The sequence below is a fragment of the Homo sapiens genome, chromosome 17 (genome assembly GCF_000001405.40).
Source record: "Homo sapiens chromosome 17, GRCh38.p14 Primary Assembly".
In the NCBI taxonomy this organism is placed as follows: Eukaryota; Metazoa; Chordata; class Mammalia; order Primates; family Hominidae; genus Homo; species Homo sapiens.
The window spans coordinates 11,797,169-11,819,921 of record NC_000017.11 but is presented as its reverse complement, the minus strand read 5'-3'; the positions used below and the strand labels follow the sequence as shown (position 1 = coordinate 11,819,921).

Below are 22,753 nucleotides of genomic sequence, written 5' to 3'. Positions count from 1 at the left end.
TTAAGGTTAAGGATGTAATAAAACTATTATTGTTCAAAACCTAATTTTCTACATAGAAAATCTAAGAGAATATTCACAAGTTGTTTGTTTTATTGCTTTTAGTCATGTCCAAATTGTGTCAATTTCACATTGTTTTAACTAAGATAGCTTCATAAGGAGACTTGATTTCCAGTGGAACAAATCACTCTTTCTGGTTCTTTCTCAACATTGCCATTTTTCATTCTTTGCTTTTCCATAAAAATTTTAGGAAATTGATATTAAAAATCAGGAGGCAGGGACTTTGGGAGGCCAAGGCAGGCGGATCACAAGGTCAGGAGTTCGAGACCTGCTTGGCCAATTAGCTGGGCATGGTGGTGTGCACCTGTAGTCTCAGCTATTCAGAAGGCTGAGACAGAAGAATCGCTTGAACCCAGGAGGTGGAGGTTGCAGTGAGCCGAGATTGCGCCACTGCACTCCAGCCTGCGCTTCAGAGCAAGACTTCGTCTCAAAAAAAAAATCAGGAGGCAGACAAGGGCTGGACTAATTAATAAGTTATGTTAAGATAATTCAATATTGATAAAAAATATATCCTAAAATATTTGTCAGAATTAAGAAAGAAACCCATTTGATTTCTTATTGAAACTGCATTTTTGGGAAAGCGGTGATACCTCATCATCCCTCCATGAACTCAATATTTCTAAATATATAATTAGATCACTATATAAAAACAATTGTCCAAATTGTTTCGCAAGGAAATAAATTGTATTCTTTTGAGAATTTTGTCTGGGGAAGGTTCTAGGATTATTGCTTGGCTGTCACTTCAAGTCAAAGAAAGTTAATTAAAAAACGTTCAGGATGGAGATAATGGGCTATGTTTGAAATCAGAGAAGAGGGAGAGTCAGAAATTGAAAGAAAAGATGGAATAGAATAAAATTCTGAATTAGGAAGTAGGGGCGGGCTCCTAGCTCAGACGAAAAGTTGACCTTGGAAAGGAGGAATGGTAATAATGGAGGAAAAGAGAAAACTGCAAATAATAATAATAATAATAATAATAATAGTAATAATGGAGACAGACTGTGATGTATAAAGTAGCTGTGAGGCCCAAACTAAATGACATCAGTTTTCTCAATGAAAAAGATGAGACTGAGGGAGGTAAGAATGAACGAAACACTATAGCTAAAAAGTTGAAAACAATGGATATGATGTAAAGGTGAATGTGGTTCACTCCAGAAAAGCAATGGGTATCAGAAAAACAAAATTTTCCCATTTCTAGAACAAGTCTTTAGGTAGCTGTTGAAGTTATCTGGGACTGGAATCATATACAAGCTCTTCTTTAAAGTTGTTTTCCACCAACATGATGCTTTTGTAAAATTTTTTTTAAAAGCTGTTCACACATGCTTTTACCTTCTTCTGTAACTGACAGAAATGTTAGCATCATAGGAATGTTAGTGATGAAAGAAGTCATTTGGGCCATCTTATATCCCACTTTCTTTTCTCTTCTTTTTTTTTTTTTTAAATACGGAGTCTTGCTCTGTCACCAGGCTGGAGTGCAGTGGCATGATCTTGGCTCACTGCAACCTCTGCCTCCCAGGTTCAAGCGATTCTCCTGCATCAGCCTCCCAGGTAGCTGGGACTACAGGTGCACACCACCATGCCCAGCTAATTTTCGTATTTTTAGTACAGACGGGGTTTCACCATATTGGCCAGGATGGTCTCGATCTCCTGACCTTGTGATCCGCCTGCCTCGGCCTCCCAAAGTGCTGGGATTATAGGCGTGAGCCACCACGCCCGGCCCATCCCACTTTCTTATGGACTTTGGTGAGGTCCTCAAAGTGAGTGGTCTGGCAAATGATCAGTAATAATCAGAGTGTGAGTAATTGTGATTGTATCAGTCATTGAAGCTGCTGCACTTTCTTGAACTACTGTATCTGGAGGAAACTCATGCCAACTTTCCAGCAAATTACGGACTTCATGGTTTGATAGCACTAAACCAATTAGGAGTCTACTAAGAGTTTCATACTAATTAGCTTTTATCATTTAAAAGGTTGAAATAAAAAAATGAATTATCATGAAAGTGATCATTTACTGTTTTCTCTTAATTGTACCAACTTATTTAATTTCTATTCTTTGAGATAGTTAATGACATGCATATAAAATTCCTGTACTATAATTTGTCAAAATCAAGATCTTACTAATAGAATGACTCATTTCAGCCTCTTCTGATAAAAATAGGAGTGAAGGAAAACCGCTAAGAAAATAAAATATTTAGCATGTGTTGAAAGTTTAAATAATAATATTTAATGGAATGTGGAAATTATGTGAAGTTCAAATTTTATTGTTCATAAATAAGATTTAATTGACCATAGCCATGATCATTAGGTATTATCTATGGCTATTTTTGCCCTACAAGGACAGAGCTGAGTATTTGTGACAGAGACTGTATGATATGCAAAGCCTAAAATGTTTACTTCCTGACACTTTATAGAAAAAACTTGATGACCCTGGTTTATTAATACTCTTAATTCCAAGACGTTGAAAGCACCTGGGCCACTTAGAGACATTTTCCGTGCTCAAATGATGGTGGTATTTGTCACAATATCCAAGATCCCTAGAACCTTTAAGAAGAAGACCATCGGATGGAATATCTGGAGATAAACACCTCTGAATAGGGAACAAAATTTGCATTTTCATATTTGTTCCTATAATTCCTTCTTGACAATATTCTCGTCACTTGTTTTGTGATGTAGGTAGTCATGCTGGAAGCAGGAAACTGAACTGCCAGAGGGGATTTTGTGATGTGAACAGGGGCAGAGGCTATTTAAATATTTGAGAAGTTTCCTCCTGAGACCTAAAGTTCGGAAACATTATTATTATTATTTTTTTTTTTGAGACGGCTCGCTCTGCCACCCAGGCTGGAATGCAGTGGCGCGATCTCGGCTCACTGCAAGCTCTGCCTCCTGGGTTCACGCCATTCTCCTGCCTCAGCCTCCAGAGTAGCTGGGATTACAGGTGCCTGCCACCACACCCGGCTAATTTTTTGTATTTGTAGTAGATACGAGGTTTCACCGAAAGTTGGGAAACACTATTTGTAACTCCAAGTACTTTCAGGCTTCATGCAGTACTTGGAGTTAGAAATAGTATTGAAATATTCTAATAGTTTGGAAGCCAGACTATTCACCATCTTCTGCCATCTTCTGTATGTTAGTATGGGACTCCTTAAAGGCCACAGCTGCTTTTCAGGAAAGAGATCCTGATAATTTAACGTGGTTTAGTTAGTTGGACTTTGGTGATAAAAAGGGTGAAGCTAAGGGCTAGATTCTAAACTTCACACTGGTGTGAGGACTTTGACCCTATCTAGACCTGATAGTTTAAAAAAAAATTTCCCTATTCTTAAAGGAGAAAACGCAAGTGAGTGTGGTGGCTATTTCAGTACTCTGTCCCTTTGTCTTCACTGCTGGAAAACTTTCCAAAGCACATGTCCAATAGTAGTATTTAATGGCACATCATTCTCATGCTGTTACTTACTTTACTTAAAGAAGTACCTCCTAAATGTCAATTATGGGCTGGGAGATGTATTAAGAGCTGACCGTATAAACGATGAAAAACAAGACTCTGCACAGAGTAATAGGTATATATCAGTGTTGCTGTATTTCCTAAACTGAGAAGTAGCCATTTAATCCTTCTTTTTTTTGTATTTCTGGATTGTTCAATAACGTAAATTAATCAACAGCAAACACAATGGTCTCTCCCTTTCATAAATTTACAATCTCGTTTCAATACAGTGGTGGTACGTGCAGCTATCGAGTGCTGTAGGAATATGGGGAACTCATTCCTAAGAGTGACAGTGGATCTGTCTCTAGATTTTCTAGAGAGGGAACGCCTAAGGTAAGTCTTCTACTGTGGGTAGAAGTTAATCCAGACAAAGAAGGGCATGAGGTTCAAAAGGAACAGCATAAGCAATTAAGGATGTCAGCAAGTAGCACAGTGTGTTACCTTAAGGAATTAGGAATCACTAGATCACAAGATGGGAAGTGAGACTAGCAAGGAAGGAAGGAAACAGGACAAAGAAGCTTGGAGTTCATTCTGCAACCAGTTGGGAACTAATAAAAAAATTACAGTGTTTTTGTTTGTTTGTTTTCTTTTTTCTTTTTTTGGAGACATGGTCTTGCTCTGTCAGCCAGGCTGGATTGCAATGGCACAATCACAACTCATTGCAGCCTCAAGCTCCTGGGCACAAGCGATCTTCCCACCTTAGCCTCCCGAGTTGCTGGGACCTGAGGTGCGCTCCATCAAGCCCCGATACTCTTTGTACTTTTCATAGAGATAAGGTTTTGCCATGTTGCCCAGGTTGGCCTTGAACTCTGGGGCTCAAGTGACCCGCCCATCTTGGCCTCCCAAAGTGCTGGGATTACAGGTGTAAGCCACTGCTCCTGGCCAGGAATTATAGTTGAGATAGACCCTTTTGCAAGGAGTGAGGAGAATGGATTGGAGTGGGGATAGCATGGGAAGTAGAGAGATAAGTTAAGGAGTGTTGGCGTTTGTCAAGGCAAAAGAAGGCAAAACCAGTGGTAGTGAGGATAGAGAAGATACGGATTCAGAAATAGATAAGGGGAAAATTGGTGGCAATAGATTATCTCTTGGACATAGGTGGTAAGGGAGAGGTTAGCAATATAGGGAATCCACAGAACACAAAGTCTCTTGAGTAACTTGTATAGGACTTCAGTTCCACAAGAAAAAAAAAAACAGTTTATTACCACAAAAGGAAAAGAAAAGTCTGATTGCTCATGCTTCTTTTTGCATTGCTCTTTGGGAGTTTCTGTTTTGCAGCTGGAGAACCAAACCGGTCCTGGTTTAAAGTTCCACTGTCTGTGGTTTGAGGGCACAGCCAGTGAGCAGATCTAATGAGTCCACTAAGTATGTCTTAGAGGATCAGTGCATGCTTGATGGTTGCTTTTTTGCCCCAACTTTATTGTTTTTTTTTTCTTTCTAGGGAAACTGGGCCAGAATTCAATTTATTTAACAGCATAGATGGCTCCTCAGGAAGTCCAGTTCCAGACGGCCACCAGAGGAGAACAATCCAATGCCAAGTCTGTTATAAACACTTCCGGGCTCTGCATTCTCATAGGATGTGTGTTGAACACTAACATGTCAACCCTAGCTCTAATCCTAAAGCACCTAGGATATGAGGTGGATCTTTTTATGTTCTAGATCCTAAGAGGAGATTTGGCCCACAGATATATAAAAAGAACAGTTTGGTTTAGAGATAAAGAAGAATATGACTTTAGAAGAGAGGGACCCCATTGGTTATAAACTCTTCCATGAGACTGCACAGAGGTTACATGTTATTCATCTTTGAGCACAGTACCTAGTGACTGAGCATGCACACTTAGTAAATGATTATTGAATATATGAATACATAGAAAGTCATCTAGCCTGGGACAGGAAAATGAATTATAATTTTGAATAAAACAATTCAGCCTTTTGGAAAGCAAAAGGAAAATCCTAACATAGGATTCCAAAATAAAATAAAATACAAAATCTGTCATAGCTAGGGGTGGAAGAAACATCACACTTGGAGCTGACTAGGTTTTCTTAGCTGGTTAGTGCTAACTGGCAGGGGCACCAGAGTAAAATGGGCCTTCTGGAAGGCTGGAAAGCTGGAGGAAGAGGTGTTTTCCTGGAAAGCCAGGGAATAATTCTGATTTTTTTTCCCTCTAAATTAGAGTGGGGACTTGCTGAAGTTGAGTTTAAGTGAAGGTCAAAAAGAGAACAAGTTTTGTAAGAATTCCTTAAATGCCTGGGTTTGATGATCAGTGCACATTCCTCAGGAATTATTATAGCAGGTCAATAAGAACATAGCCAGTAATGAACCTTTCAGATCCAGCAAGGACTCACATTTCATGCACAGTTTCACCAGCAGTTGCATGACCCCTATCAAGGACCCCAGCAGCCAAGGGAAGTGACTCAAATATGTGGTTCATCTGCTCTTACCCTGGGCAGCCACTCTAGTTCTTATACAGTTATGTATCTTTTGCTAATTAAACCAGGAACCTAATTTAATATTTTTGCTTTGTGTGTAAGATTTCTTCATGTCCATCTATAATCCATCTGAGATACAACTGGCATAAAGATGGGTTCTGAAATGCTGTAGTTCGTGTCAGAAGTAGATTCATAAGCCAAATTACTATCATGGTTTGATTTTAGAAATGGTGTCAGGAAAACAAGAAATGAAATGGTGAGATAAAGAAGTGTGAGAGGAAACTCCGCCCAGGGCATGAGATCATTGGTTTTCCAAGGGAGATGTTTTTGGGAGAGAACTGCATTCACTATACCTTTATATCCAACCTCGTAGGACTTGTACATAACTACAGAGGGATGAGTGAATTGCAAGGTTGTCTAAGTTATGGTTTCCTAGTCCCTACTATGTTATCCAAGGGTGGAGTCATTGCATAACCCCACAAAGTTGAAAAAGTTGGGAGATAATGAGGTTCTGCGTCATCCCCGCAGCTTTGGCTGAACTGGCAGTCGGTTACTTTCTGGCCAGAAATTACTTATTTGATAGGGAAAATTAGAACCAAGATATACTCTAATTCTCCCTGTTGAAATGGTTAAGAAAAAAAGGGGGTGGGTTAGAAGACAAAAGTGTTCATCTTAACTGTATCTCCACTTGAATATGTATACACAAATTTTACCTTTTTTTTTTTCCTTAAAGAATATATAGAAGCCTTAAAATGGGGCCTAAAACTCCATGACTTTGGAACCGGCTGATTGCATTTTCACTGGGAGGGCTTTAGAAATTCGTTTGCACTTGAAAAAAAGTTGTGTTCTAAATGAAAAATTATCAATACTTAATTGAGGAATAAAATTTCAATTGGTAAAAATGTGACAACTCTGTGTCTCAGATGTTATTTTAGGAAAAGGTGACCTGGCTGGATTAGAGCCAATTGAAATACAATGGTGTGAGGCTGGCAACACGCCCGACATCTCTAAAGCTGTATTCTCTCAGACTGATTTTGAAATTAGGCTTTAGGGTAGCTTTGGGGTAGGAGGGAAGTTGGATCCTTCTCTCATTATTTAGTAAAATAATAAAAGATGAGGCTATGTTGTAGATTAAACACTATTGCAGAAGGTGATGAGATGTTAAAGAGATTGCATTTAAGAAAGGAAAAAATTGTGGCATTGGAGGAGAAAAGGTGTAAGAGTTGGTAGGCAAACTCTCTGATATAAAGCTAACTTGAACAGGGCAGGGAGGGAAGGGAATGAGGGTGGTATGAGTGCAAGGCTAGCAGCCAGCACAGTGAGGAAACCTGGGACATCGATCTCACCTGAAAGAAGCCAAAGGTTGCTCACAATGCCTGCTAGTACATGCTCTGGACCAGGGACCAGTGGCTCTTCATGAAAATGACAGCATGATGGCATGGGGTGCAATGCCACAAAATATGAAGCAGACAATGATTCCAAAGCCAGGAACTTCCTGGAGGTTGTCAGGAACTATCCTAAAATATATTACTTACAATATATAGTAGATAGACTATATACTACTATATCTATATATACTAGATAGACTATGGAGAAAGGTACTTGTGACCATGGTCCTTGGACCTTATAAACTAAACATTATTTAATCAGAGCCAGGGAATGGAGTGTGGAGAGAGAGAAGGCTTTTGAGATGCTGGAAGTCTGGAGGCAGAAATTTTGTTCAGGAACATTTGTACACTGACTGTTTTCTCAATTGAGATGAAGAGGTGGTTTTGTAGATGCTGCATTTGGTTTAAGAGCCAAGAAAGCGTATTCTTTCTTTAATATAAACATGCACATATTTATATAAATGCATAATTTATGCATTATATTGTCTTATATTCTTGGATGTATGTGTGTATGTATGTGTATATATATATATATATATATATATATATTTTTTTTTTTTTTTTTTTTTTTTTTTTTTTTTTTTTTGAGACAGAGTCTCACTCAGTCACCCAGACTGGAGTGCAGTGGCATGATCTCAGCTCACTGCAACCTGTATCTCCCTGGTTCAAGTGATTCTCCTGCCTCACCCTCCCAAGTAGCTGGGATTACAGGCCTTTTGCAGTCTCAGTCTCGCGCTTGCATCAGAAGAGCATTGGAGATATTGGTTCTGAGCAGGACAGAGCATATCTGTAACAGTGTCCAGGAACAATATACCTTTGACGGAAGATGCTTATTGCCAGATTATTGGGATTTCTCCAAATATGAAAGACTTCGTCCTAGGTAGAGACGAGGTAGGAAATATAAAAAGCAATGATGGGTAAGACAGATAAACCAGGTCATACCCACTCTGGGGTGATGGACAGCTGAGGTTGGAGTGATGAGACTGAAAGGAGGAAGAGTCAGCTGAATGCTGGGTCAACAGCAGGGATGTGACCACCAGGTTCCACTATCAGTTACCTATGGCCTCCATATCTCTGGTTGGGGGCATGAGAGTTTGTAAAGTAATTACGGTAGAGCTGCCACTGCCCTGGATAAGAGAGCTGGGGAGACAGACCCAACTTACATCAAGAGAATAGGTCAGAGGATGGGATCCAGCATACTGATCTCTTCTCCCTGCCTCTTTATCTCGTTTTATAACCTTTTTCTTTTTTTTTTTTTAAATTGAGACGGAGTCTCGCTCTGTCGCCCAGGCTGGAGTGCGGTGGCATGATCTCAGCTCACTGCAACCTCCGCCTTCCAGGTTCAAGCGATTCTCCTGCCTCAGCCTCCCAAGTAGCTGGGACTACAGGTGCACACCACCACACACAGCTAATTTTTGTATTTTTAGTAGAGATGGCATTTCACCATTCTGGCCAGGCTAGTCTTGAACTACTGACCTCAGGTGAGCCACCCACCTTGGCCTCCCAAAGTGCTGGGATTACAGACGTGAGTTTTCACTTTGTGGGGGATTGTTGGTATACGTACTGAATTCCTAAATAAAGAAGGACAATAAAATAGCAATAGCAAGCATTGAGCTTTCCATTGAAGTCCTATCTTGCACAGACAGCGTCACAGGCCACTTCACACTCTCTGTCAAGTTTTTTGGGGACCAAGGAAAACTATGTGGAACTTCCACTTTGCTCTCATGAGGTTGTAAATCACTAGTTAATTACATTGGTAACCTCATCTTGCCCTACTGTGTAAGTTTTACGCGTGCATGCTCATGCTCTCTTTTTGTGTATCTTCCTGCCAATGCCTGAGCTTCCTCAAGTACTACACACATTCTAGTTTCTCTTTGATTTGGATACAGAGAGGGAACAGCACCTTCTCTCCACAGCACATCACCAAGCTCTTAACCCTCTCTTCTTCCCATCATCAGGTCTAGTCCCACTAAGAGAGCTCCACGATTACTGTCTGTTTTGCAATGAAATAAGAATGAAAGAGCCAGGATAGCAGGCCCAGCATCAATGCTGAGAAGGACCTCAATGAACCAGTCCTTGGCTGTGTCAGTTTTCTTCCTCATTACTATGACCTTACTCTTCCCACCCTGGACGAAATCTTCACCTTTGTATAACTCTGATTCCAGGGGGAATTTATCAGTGACACCAAGTGCAAGGAATCTCTTACCAGATGCCAAAAGATCATTGATGAGCACAAGGAACCTCTCATCAGCCACTTGGGCATCAGTCATGAGAAACACTGTGTTGAGATTCTTCACTCCAGCTTTCAGACACAGGCTGGCCAGGTCCATCTGTAGGAATGGTCAATATCAGAAATCTCTGAAAAGAAGGCCTCCTTGAAAGAGAACTCCAACCCATTCTTTAGAAATGGAACCGTTTTCTTCTCTGCTTGAATGGGAATTAAAGTAAGGTGACAATGGGAAGCTGGGGGAGGGCTATCTTGCACTGACAGGCAGGAAACTATGCCTCATTCCCAGGCTTTGGTGCCAATAAAGGTGGGCAAGAGAAATTACATAGCAATGGCCTCTAATTCATACAACCATGCTAGCTCCTGTACCTCTCTTACACTGATTTAGAAATTAGGCTTTAGGGTAAAGCTTCTGGAGCTCCTGCTTTGTGCAAAGAGGTTACAGCTTTCCAAAGCCCAAAGGTGGTCCCCCATTTATCTGTCTTACACATATATAAGACTCATACAAGTGTCTTACTTATATGCAAGTCTTATATGTAAGACTTACATACTTATATGGAAGACTTACTTACGTATATGGAAGACTTACTTACATATAAGTAAGTATGTCTTACGTCTTACTTATATGTAAGACTCAAACAACTGAATGACCTGCTCCTGAAGGCAAGCCATTGCTCTTGGTCTTGACTGAGAGTGAGGTACTTGGGGCTACCAGCATGGCGGATGAATATATCTTATGCTAGCAGGGTCTTGTAGTTTTTATTTTTTATTTTTTATTTTTTGAGATGGATTCTCGCTCTGTCACCCAGGCTGGAGTGCAGTGGCACCATCTCGGCTCACTGCAAGCTCCGCCTCTCGGGTTCAAGGGATTCTCCTGCCTCAGCCTCCCAAGTAGCTGCATCTACAGGTGCGTGCCACAACGCCCGGCTAATTTTTTGTATTTTTGTTGTAGAGATGGGGTTTCACCATGTTAGCCAGGATGGTTTCGATCTCCTGACCTCGTGATCCACTCCCCTCAGCCTCCCAAAGTGCTGGGATTACAGGCATGAGCCACTGTGCCCAGCCTCTTGTGTTCTTATGACTAGCTCCAGCAAAACACTTATGTTGAAAAAAATATACTGGGGCAACACACACACACACATACACAAATGCAATCACCTGTAGGAAATTATATACATTGAAAACTGCAGATGGATGACATTTTGGGCTAGGATGCCAAGTTCTGAACTTATCCAGCTTGATCAATCTCAGTTCCTTTGGTGTATCAACCTCCCCAAGCTCAGCCATCAGTTCTTGATGTTGCCTTTCTCTCTCTCTCACATTACTCACAGCTATTTCTAACAACTCCACTCATTTCTTTACCACAGAGCTACCTTAGTGTCCAAATAGCTCCCCTTTAAATATACTGATTTTTGTTTTAGATCAATGGTTCTCATCGCATCCTCTAAGTGATCTAAGACAGTGTTTCTCAGTTCTCATTGGAATCATCTTGGGGATGCTTTGAAAAATCGTGATGCCCAGGCCATTCCCCAGACTAGTTAAACCAGAATACTGGGGAGTGGGACACAGGCATCAGTATTCTTTCTAGATCCCCAGCGATTCCCATATAGAGTAAAAGTTGAGACCCACAGTCTCAGCTCATTCTGTAAATGTGTAATTCCTATCACACTATCATGTCTTTTTTGGAAGCACTAAAGAAAGACCTAATACGAACTTGATGTATGACCTTAGATTCAGCCAGTCGTCGAGAGGCTGGGCTGTGGTTTTAGAGCAGAAGTGAGCACCTCCCTCTTCTGTCACTGGCTGAGAGATTATGAGGGCAAGTGGGTAGGACTGGCTCAGTGCTGGCTGGAGTTCTTCCAGGAAGAGCAAGAGCAGCCTCCTGATAGAAGTTACACCGTGACTTCCTACCAAGACTGTTGTGGCCATGGATAAAACAAAGCGGACTGGACACAATGACCTTTGAAGGTTGTATATAGTGTCTTTCTTTACTTTCCAGAGTACTCATCCAGCCTCCAAGTGCTGGCTGTCTGAAACCAGGATATGTCACTGAAGGTCCCAGAGGCCAGTGGTTACTGACCCGTCTTTTAAAATCTGAATTTCTTAGGAAACTCAAGCAGACCTTCAGAATTCCATCTGTCTGCTCCCACTGCCAGTGAGCTGTGTGCTGAATTTGATACAGATGTGCTTCTGATTTGAGCAAGAGTGGAGGCCCCACAGACGTAACTAGGACGCCTGAGGTCTCCCAAAGGCAGACTTTGGAAATGCCACTGTTCTCAGGCTGAGTCTAATGAGAAGTCATTCACATCACCAGCCCAGAACCTAAGACAGAAATGGACAGACATTGAAGGGGAGGCTCCAGACAGGGGAACTGGAGAACGAGTGAAGGATGATGGAACTGTGGCTGGTTGGAGGGAAGCTGAGCCTCCTCCCTGCAGCTGCCTGACCTTTTACCTTGAAGTCCTGGATCTGGTAGCCTTTGCGCAGTGTGATCTGGAAGACATCCATGGAGCTGATGAAAGCTGCCAGCCTTGTCAGGCTCTGCTTGCCGCTCCCACCTACACCAACCAGCAGAGCATTTCCCCGCGGGGACTCCAAGATGCGATTGATATGGCAGCTAAAGAGAAGGAAGCAGGCACATGTTGCTTTGATCAGACTTTCTGCAGTCAGAAGCATGTATAAAGGCTTGAGTGGGAGCAGGGGCCTTCCTTGGAGGCACGTCACAGGCTGAGCTGTGGGAAACGTTTATTAGATTGTCCCTAAACCTGGCCTCACCTTCTTGCCCGAGCTGACTGAAGCTGCCATTGCTTTGCCTTAAGCCACAGCCTCTAGTGAACTAGGGACAGCCTGGGGGAGCCCATGGAAGGGAGCAGGATTGCAGGGGATGAGTGATGCGATAGGGAAGGGACTCAGGATTGCTTTTGCTCTTCTCCGCACCATAACTGACCCTGCCACACCTCCCACTTCAATTCTTTTGGGCAAGAAGAGGGGACGGAAAAAGCGAAACAGTTGAAAACACACAATTTAAAAAATTCAGGAAAGGCTGGAGGACAAGGCAGGAGCAGAAGTTGGTTCCTCTTAGGAAAGAAGAGAAGCCAAACCAAAGTCAGCAGGAGAGAAACAGGGAGCCCGGACAGAACTCTTCTGTCTCCCTTCTTCAATCCTTCCTGGGCGTGGATGACCCTGTAATGAAGGTTTGTGGGTTCTTATTATCAATAGGTAAGACAGCTGCATCCCTGGCTTCTGGATTCCTCCCTTCACAGCCTTACTGCTCACCGCTCTCAGTGCCCATATTCCTCTCTCCTTGCCCCCTTCCTTGCAATGGAAGACTATTCCAGACCTCATCTTCTTCAGAGGAAACCACTCTTCCTGCCCTCCAGCCCTTCCTCAAAGGCCACCCTCCATCAGCCTCTCCTCCAGGATCCGCTTCCAATCGTATGTCTAACCCCTCTCAGCAGTATGCATATACCTTATGCAAGGTGCTACACCCTTTATAAAAAGAACCCTGATTTTCTCCTTTTCTCATCTTTAAAACAATGGCTCTGCATTGTACAAAATGCGTACAATACAGAAAAAAATCCACAGTTCTACTATTTAGCAATAAACACTACTGATGTGAATTATAGGCCCTTCTAGACTTTTTTCTAGTGTTTGTCTGCATTTTTATAAATATATATGTACATACATTGTTTGTACCTGAAAAGTCAATATATTTCTGTTATGTGTATTTTAAAAATTGAGTTCATGTTGTATACTGAACACAGTCTTTTGAAAACTTTTTTTTTTCATTTAGCAATATACTGTGATTGTTTCCCTAAGCCATTAAAAATTCAGCTAAACCAGACTTTTGATGGTAGAATGGTATTGTGTAGAATACCAACATTGTGTTGGTAATAAGGATAGAATAAATTGCCTGTCTGTAATAGCCTGCTCTTGGATATGTATGTTGCTTCCAACATTTTCCATTTATAAATAACACTGTATATATTTTTTAAGTTTATATCTCTGATTATATCCTCAGGATAAGTTCTAGAAGTAAAACTGTTGAGCCAAACAGTAAGACAGTCTTTAGAGACTGCCGCGCAGAATGACGGCACCGACATGTACTTTTCCTGGGTAGAATTGATCAAAAGGTGGATCTGCTATATTGGAGGATTTGAATATACTGGATGTGTTAGTTGAATTAGGATGTGTTAAGTCAGCAAATTCAGGGCTACGTAACACAGTGATCAAGCTGCTTTAGAGAAATGTTTTTGGAAGAAGAGACAACAGGTATTGGTGATTTGGGGACCAAAAGAGTGTGAGAATAGGAACTCGGGCTGGGAGCGGTGGCTCACATCTGTAATCCCAGCACTTTGGGAGGCTGAGGCAGGAGGATCACCTGAGGGCAGGAGTTTGAGACGAGCCTGGGAAACATGGTGAAACCCCATCTGGAGAGGGTTCAAGATTTCAGTCTGGATGCGTGAAACATTTGTAGCAATAAAAAGTTCTTTGGAGCCCAGGTGTGGTGGCTCATGCCTGTAATCCCAGCACTTTGGGAAGCCAAGGTGGGGGGATCACCTGAGGTTAGGAGTTCGAGACCAGCCTGGCCAACATGGTGAAACCCTGTGTCCACAAAAACACAAAAATTAGCAGGCATGGTGGTGAGTGCTTGTAATCCCACCTGCTAGGGCAGCTGAGGCAGGAGTATCTCTTGATCATAGGAGGCGGAGGTTACAGGTTACAGTGAGCCAAGATCGCTCCACTGCACTCCAGTCTGGATGATAGAGAGAGACTCCATCTCAAAAAAAAAAAAAAAAAAAAAAAAAAAAAAAAAAAAAAAAAAGAACTCGGGTAAAGTTTGGCCAAATAGAGTAGAGGATACGTTTGAGATTGAATTGCATGGGCTACAATCCTGTGCTCCTGTCTGTGTTAATGATGTTATAATTAGAAATGCCATATTCAAATTAAGTAGGGTGGAGCAACATAAGGTCTAGCTAGCTCCAGTTTGGAAGAAACTCTGGACACGGGTTTTGGTGGGTGGGGTTCAACGCATGAACAACATGTGAGTGTATATAAAGTTACAGAGCTTGTGTTGAGCCTCTGTGGTTTGAAGTTTCTTATTTCTGCAAATTTCTTGCATGTACTGATGACCTGTTCACAATTAACATAAATAAACTAAACGTTTGTTGTTCCTCATTGCCCCATGTCTCCTGTGGGGTGCGCTTGCTGCTCTGAAATCTTGCTAGCAGTGTGTAGGAGTCTGGCCCCCAACCCTTGTTGACACTGAATCTTACATCTAATTTTTTTTTTTTTGAGACAGAGCCTTGCTTTCTCGCCCAGGCTGGAGTGTAATGGTGGGATCTCAGCTCACTGTAACCTCTGCCTCCCAGGTTCAAGGAATTCTCCTGCTTCAGCCTCCCGAGTAGCGAGTAGCGGAGATTACATTTGCATGCCACCACTCCTGGCCCCCAAAGAACTTTTTTTTTTTTTTTTGAGACAGAGTCTCGCTCTGTCGTCCAGGCTGGAGTACAGTGGCGCGATCTCGGCTCACTGCAAGCTCCGCCTTCTGGGTTCACGCCATTCCCCTTCCTCAGCCTCCCGAGTAGCTGGGACTACAGGTGCCTGCCACCACGCTCGGCTAATTTTTTGTTTTTTTAGTAGAGATGGGGTTTCACCAGGTTAGCCAGGATGGACTCGATCTCCTGACCTTGTGATCCACCCGCCAGGCCTCCCTCCCTGGGATTACAGGCGTGAGCCACCGCACCTGGCCAATCTTTGCCAATTTAATGGTGGAAAAATTACTGTTTTTATTTTTATTTATTTGGTTTCTAGGGAATTGAACATTTTTAAATGTTTATGAAGCATTTTATTATTTTTGTTTTGTAAACTTTCTGTTCATGCCCATTGCCTGCTTTTCAACTGAAGTGTTTCTCTCAATTTGTGAAACCCTTTTATGTATGTTTTCAATTATCCTCCAATTTCTCACCTTTATCTTCCAGTTTTTTAAAGATGTTTCAGATATACAAATATTTTTAGGTCTTAAAGTTGGATGTGGTTAACTACTAAATTTTATGTAGTTAAAATGTTTTGACTTAAATATTCAGGAGTTATTTATTGACCTACATTCAGTAATTTTATGATTTTACTTTTCCACTTTAATTATTTAATTGTGAAACTTATACTGTCTTATATCAGATAGATTTACACTTCTCTTGCTTTCCTATGAAACTGTAATTTCTAGATGTCTGAAGAGTACATATACTCATTTTGTATTCTCTGCAGTGACAGCACATTGAAGGTATCTAATACATTTTTGTTAAATTTAAACAGAACAACCCATGCCTTATATGAGCTCCACATTTGGGGTGATGTACGCAATGATTCATTACGCTGGGTGCAAGGGGTTATCTGCTTTGTGTCTGCATGAGATGGTGCCTGATGAAGGGAGAAGCCATGGTGCTAAGATACCCAGCCTCTCTCTCCTGATTCAGAAAAGTTGGGGCAGGAAAGGATTAGTGGAGGAAAGAGAGAGGCAGGCATGGAGGAGGAGTCAGAGGAGTTGGAGTCCAGCTGGGTTCTCTGGGTCACCCAACCCCCCAGCCCTATTCTGAAGGCCTGAACTCAGCTTAGCATGGCCCATGCCATTCAATATCTCAATGGGAAATGCATCGTTTGTGATGAAGTTTCCAGAGAAGTGTGGTTAAGTCTGCAACCGTCAGCACCGGACTCCAGCTGGGGATTCATTACCAACCTCTGATGAGGGCAAAGAACTCTGCATTTAAATTACAAAATTTAAAAAGAAGATCAATATTCTAAAGTGCTCCTGGGCCAGAAAACCAAGGCAGTCTAAGTTAAGTCCATTACTGAATTTCTGAGAGATTAAAAACAAAAGCTGAAGATGCACCATCGCACAGCTGGAGGAAGTTGATTTATTGGACTAGACACGCATGTGCGTGTGTGCGAGCGCACACACACACACACACACACCCCTAGAGAATGGGTAAGATTCTCAGGGCACAAAAGAAGTACATCTGAGGGTTTGTCGTTGTTGTTGTTAATGATTGCTAAGTGATTCTAAGAGAAGAAAATATATGTGGGAGTGAAAAACAAAGAGACAGAAAAAGATGAATGGAGATGATGCCAAAAGCGGGGGAAAAGATCTGGTTTAAAGCTTGAAGAAAAAGCAGAACAAGAATCTGCTGAAGTGGTGACGAAAGTCAGTAGAAAAGTGGTACTACTAAGGAAATAAGGCAATAGCACAAAGAAAAAAGACTTTCATATTTACTGACTGCAAAGCACTTTGCATAGATAGCAACAACCCTACGATGCAGGCATTCTTAATATCCTAATTTCCCAGGTGAGGATATTTAGGCTTGGGGGTTAAGCATCCTTCCCAAAGCATCCCAACCAATTTGTGGCAGAACAAGGATTTGAACTTTGGTTTGGTTTTTGTCCATAACCACTACACAGTGCTCTGTTACTGAGTTCAGCATCAAAACTGCAGAAAGGGAGAGCAGCAAAGCTGGGGAAGGGTGTAGGGGACTCTAACTAAAAAGAAAGATGATGCGAGCTCGAGTGGTGAGAACAAACAGCTGGATGGAGTTATTATAAAAATAGGTTCTCGCCTTGGATCCCTGGACCTGTGAGTTCCTGGGAGGGCACACACACAGTCTCCTTCCTCGTCTGCTCTGTCCTACTCCCACTTTTTTTTTTTTTTTGTCTGTGTGTTTTCTTGAGATGGAGTTTCACTCTTGTTGCTCAGGCTGGAATGCAGCGGCACGATCTTGGCTCCCTGCAACTTCCACCTCCTGGGTTCAAGTGATTCTCCTGCTTCAGCCTCCTGAGTAGCTGGGATTACAGGTGTCTGCCACCATGCCTGGCTAAGTTTTTTGGTATTTTTAGTAGAGATGGGGTTTCACCGTGTTGGCCAGGCTAGTCTCGAACTCCTGAACTCAGGTGATCCATCCCGCCTTGGTCTCCCAAAGTGCTGGGATTACAGGTGTGAGCCACCATGCCCACCCTACTCCCACTTTGCGTCTCAGAAGGTGGTACCTTTCTGGAGTGCTGTGTGTGTAGCGATGTGAGGCCATAGAGTCTTCCCACACTCTTAGGTTATCTGTGTTTCTCCCTTTACTGCCTGGTATCCTTTTTCTGATCTAAGAAGGGGAATCCTTCTGCTTTATTGGTTGGTAGAGGCAGCAACGAGAGGTCCATGAGCCCCAGGGAAGGGAGGGAATGGCAGAGCGAGGATAAAGTAACGGGTGGTTGATGTCTTTAAACAAATGTATGGGAAATTATACAACTAAATACATTTTATTCTTCAGAATTGTCCCCTTCCAGGCAGTTCATTTTCCCAGTTATTTTGCCATTGCTAAATGAGGCTCAGGCTTCTCTTTGGATACTAACTTCAGAGTTTGTTTATAAGCCTATGGAAGAAAGCCAGTGTTTGTAGCCAGTACTTATTATTTTTTTTTTCTAAAAACAATATTAGTTTGATCACCCATGTTGGAAGCCACATTGATGGAATCACTTACAATTTTTTCAAATTAAATTCGCCCTTAAAGGACAAAGACTTGCCTCAATTCCAAGACTATGACAGACATACTGGTGGCTCTTCAGGAGAAGAGAGAATACTCACTGGAGCTTCATAAGGTTGAATTTTTTTTTTCTTTTTTGAGATGGAGTTTCACTCTTGTTGCCCAGGCTGGAGTGCAATGGCACAACCTTGGCTCACTGCAACCGCTGCCTCCCGGGTTCAAGCGATTCTCCTGCCTCAGCCTCCCGAGTATCTGGGATTTCAGGTGCACGCTGCCACCATGCCCAGCTAATTTGTATTTTTAGTAGAGACGGGGTTTCACCATGTTGGTCAGGCTGGCCTCAAACTCCTGACCTCAGGTGATCCACCCGCATCGGCCTCCCAAAGTGCTGGGATTACAGGCATGAGCCACGGTGCCCGGCAGGTTGAACTTTTAATGCCTCATTTCCTGAACCCTACTATGCACTAGGCATTGTCTAAGATACTAAGGTTTCAGCAGTGAGCAAGACAGTCTGTGTGCTCAAGGAGCTCACATCAGATTAGGGGGATACAAAAAAATATTTGAAGAAGCTTCATAGGATGATGGTATAGAGCACAGACTCTGGAGCCAGATTGCACTATTGCAAGTTCTACCTATTTATGAGGAGTGTGACCTTAGGCAACTTCTCTCCTCTCAGTCTCAGTTTCCTCATTTATAATATAGAGACAATAACAAAACTTTACTTCTTCAGGGTTTTTGTGAAAACTAAATGCAATGATATATGCAAAGCACTATGCACAAGGCACACAGAGAGTTCTATGTTGAGCTACATGTCGTTTTAAATGCTACCCTCTCAGGGAGGCCTTCCTGATGACCCTAGTTATAATTAGGATCACCCTCAGTCCTCTCTACTCCCCTTCCCTCTCTGTTTTCCTCTGCATGATTTAGTCTCATATAACATGCTAAGCAGTTTTACTGAGCACCTGCTAGGTTCCACACAGTGTCCTAGAGGTTAGGATCCCGGCACTTATCCTAAGATTATCTAATCAATAAATATATGTTGGATGAGTGGATGATGCAAACAGACAGAGGTTAATCATTGACCACAGGGGCGTCATGTAATATAGGCGAGGACTTAGCAGTGAAAACTGACTTCAGCAAGACGTGTGGTCACCTCACTACAGAGGTGACAATGATAAGCACTGCTTTGTTCAAGGGCTAAGAAGTGGGCAGAGAAGGAAATCAGAAGTGAGAAAGTAAGACAAAGATGGGCAACGTTTTGGATGAGTGTCGTTGCGGATAGGAGCGGAGAAATGGGGGTAGTAGATGGAAAGGAATGTAAGAGGCAAGGAATAGTTTATTATTTTTTGATAAATGATAACATAGCATGTTTGTATGCTGATGCATATAATCCAGAAATTAATGATGGGGTAAGATAAAAGAGGGGAGAGAGAAAATAGGAGAGGGAGAAGGAGAGAGAGAGAGAGGAGATAATTACAGCGAGAGGTGAAGTCACCGAGAAGGTGAGAGGAGGTGGGATCCAGGGCGCAGGTGTAGGGACTAGACTTAGATAGGGATAGGGGTGTTCATGAACTGAAGTTGTAGGGAAGGCAGGACTTGTGGGAGGGATGCAGGGATACACATAGGCTGTTAGATTTGATGACGGGAAGACGCGAGATTCTCTTCTTGTCACTTTCATTATCCCAGTGAAATAAGAGATGTTCTTATTAACTGGGAATAAGGCGCTGGGAGTTTGAAAAGAGAAGGAAAATGTGTAATGCAGTTATCACGGGATGGTGAAAGAAGCAACATGCTTAGGGTAGAGGAGGACAATTTCTAGCAATGTTGAGACCTGTTTGATATTTATGGATGCAGATCTGGAGCAAAAACAATCAACATGGTGGGATATTTTTCCTCAACAGTATCTAGCTGCTTAGGGGCACGGGTAGAGTAAGAAGATAGTGGGGGCTGGGCGCAGTGGCTCAGGCCTGTAATCCCAGCACTTTGGGAGTCCAAGGCGGGTGGATCACCTTAGGTCAGGAGTTTGAGACCAGCCTGGCCAACATCGTTTAACCCTGTCTCTATTAAAAACACAAAAAATTAGCCAGGCCTGGTGGTGGGCACCTGTAATCCCAGCTACTTCAGAGGCTGAGGCAGAATGGCTTGAACCTGGGAGGTGGAGGCTGCAGTGAGCTGAGATCGCACCACTGCACTTCAGCCTGGGTGACAGAGTGAGACTCCCTCTCAAAACAACAACAACAAAAAAAGACAGTGCGGTCTAGCCCGAGTGAGATTTTGTGGATACAATGACAAGAAAGTTAGGGGAGCTGGCACTGGGGTGATGGGGTCTATGGTGGTTAAAAAGGAAAGTAAGGAGAATCGCTTGAACCCAGGAGGCAGAGTTTGCAAGGAGCTGAGATCACGCCACTGCACTCCAGCTTGGGCGACAGAGTGAGACTCCGTCTCAAAAAGCAATAAAATAAAATAAAATAAAATTTTTAAAAAGGGAAAGTAAAGACATGGTAGGGGGAGAGATAACGGATAACTACTTCTGGGGAAGTAGTTGGTCCAATGAATGAAGTCTTGAAGTTGAATGAAAGACCAGAGCAGATAAGTGGGAGGGTGGCAGGTACAGGTCAGAAAGTGGGATGTTTGAAGTTGGGATTTTGAAGGTGGGTTCCTATTATAGGAACATGAAAGTGAGAACTGAGGTGGGCTAGAAGAAAAGACCATGGGAGCCAAGCAAGCCAAGGAACAGAAAGGATTATTAGCTAGATGCCAAGAGTGAGTCGAGACATGGGTGAGGAGGAAGGGTGCCCAGGGACTAAGGCCATTAGCGGATGATGGGGAGTGATTGACTGTCAGCAGATAACAGTGACAAGGAGGAAGAATGAGTAGGAAAGGCAGGTGACTTGTGTTCAAAAGAACTGGGGTTTTGAAGGGTAAGAGAAGAAAGGACTTAAATGTGCCATTGGGGTGGGGGACTGGGGGTAAGGAGGTTACTTACTCCTCTCTAGGCCCTGGGGCACATAGAATGGGGAAGAAAAAACAGCTTTCCTCCACTCAGGGGTCAGTCAGGTATCAGTTAGAATTTGGCAGTAAAGGGAAAGTTCAAAGAAGTTGAAATGAAGCAGATATTGTTGCTAAGACCGTGAGTACCCTGGGGGAAGGCGGAAGGATTTTGGAGGGCAGTGAGCGCTGGCAATGGGTCTCAGATTGGGAAATGTAAGAAGCAGGGTAGGGATGGTGTTGGTGTGAGGCTAGACTGTCTTGGAGGCTTGGTTATTACTTTCAGTGATTCACTAGATAGCAAAAACACTAAAAGGATATTTAATTTTTGAAATATGTATGCACTTGAATACAAACCCTCTATCTCTCTCTCTCTCTCTCTCTTTTTTTTTTTTTTTTTTTTTTTTTTGAGGCAGAGTCTTGCTCTGTCGCCCAGGCTGGAGTGCAGTGGCGCCATCTTGGCCCACTGCAACCTGGGCCTCCCAGGTTCAAGCGATTCTCTTGCCTCAGCCTCTGGAGTAGCTGGGATGATAGGCACGTGCCACCACGCCTGGCTAATTTTTTTATATTTTTAGTAGAGATGGGGTTTCACCGTGTTAGCCAGGATGGTCTTGATCTCCTGACCTCGTGATCTGCCCGCCTCGGCCTCCAAAGTGCTGGGATTACAGGCATGAGTCATCCTGTCCAGCCTATCTCATTTTTTTAAATGGCCCTTGGACTAATAACAAGGTGGTGATGGAGGTCCTGAGCTGTTCTGGGTCCCATTTTATGATCTCAAGTCTGTTCTTGCTGTCACTGTGATTATGCCCGGGATAGCAAATGGCGGACCTGGAAATGAACCCATTCCTGCCTGAGCTCCGCACTGTGCTGCCCCCTAGGGTCTGCGGCAGGAGCTGCAGCTGCTCTGCCAGCAGCCATCTTGACTTTTAAGGCAGAAGCCGGAGCTCCTTACCTGGCTTTACGGAAGTGACCTCAAATAGCCGAATGAGACCCCTGTCATTGGGAAGAGGAAGCAACTGAGGAAAAGGAAGAGGAGAAGCACACTTACACATGGCGCATGGCATCCTCAAAGAGAACTAGGTCCATCACTGTGTTGACTTCATTGTGGTTCTCCAAGGCCTCCACCAGAGTCTGGGTCAAAAGTTCCCAAGACTGTACAGGCATGTATTTGGGCTCCCCAATACCATTTGCAAAGTGACAATACAGGTTCGGGCTTTGGGTCTGCTCCACAGGGTCTTCAATATCCTGGTGATGAGACACAGGAATAAGGGCCCTCATTATTGACTTCTGGGGCTGGTTCCACAGAGCAGAGACACCTGATTTGCTCTGCACATTCCCTGGAAATTAGGCATCAGTGCTACTTCCAACATGCCCTTCTCTTGAGAAGCCCTTTTAAGTGGATGCTTAACATCCATCTACCAGCTCCATGAAGTCTCAGGTGATGTTTGTTATTCCTTAAGGACTGAGGATGGGAAGTGGGAGGTGGGATGGGGCCTCCTCACAAGCACGGTAAGAGAGTGCTTCTGTGAGAAGAATGGATGGGGATGGATGGGTGGATTTCTCTAAGTGGGGGCTCTTTCACCAGTATTGAATGAAGGGGATCGTGGCCCAATCGCCTCACTTTCTGCATGTACATTCCAACAGATCTAGGTCCTCAATCTGCAGCAAAGCCA

General features: G+C 43.0%; 1 protein-coding gene across 5 annotated transcripts in view; it reads right to left on the bottom strand.

The window, feature by feature from the left end:
* Positions 1-22,753, bottom strand: part of DNAH9 (dynein axonemal heavy chain 9) — a 371,279-nt gene that overhangs the window by 149,827 nt on the left and 198,699 nt on the right. For all 5 annotated transcript variants that reach the window (XM_011523703.3, NM_001372.4, XM_017024292.3 and 2 more), the window contains 3 exons: positions 22,129-22,325; positions 12,028-12,190; positions 9,553-9,676 (listed from right to left, as the gene is read on the bottom strand). In XM_011523703.3, the coding sequence (XP_011522005.1) occupies positions 9,553-9,676; positions 12,028-12,190; positions 22,129-22,325 (484 nt within the window). The remainder of the gene's footprint in view (positions 1-9,552; positions 9,677-12,027; positions 12,191-22,128; positions 22,326-22,753) is intronic.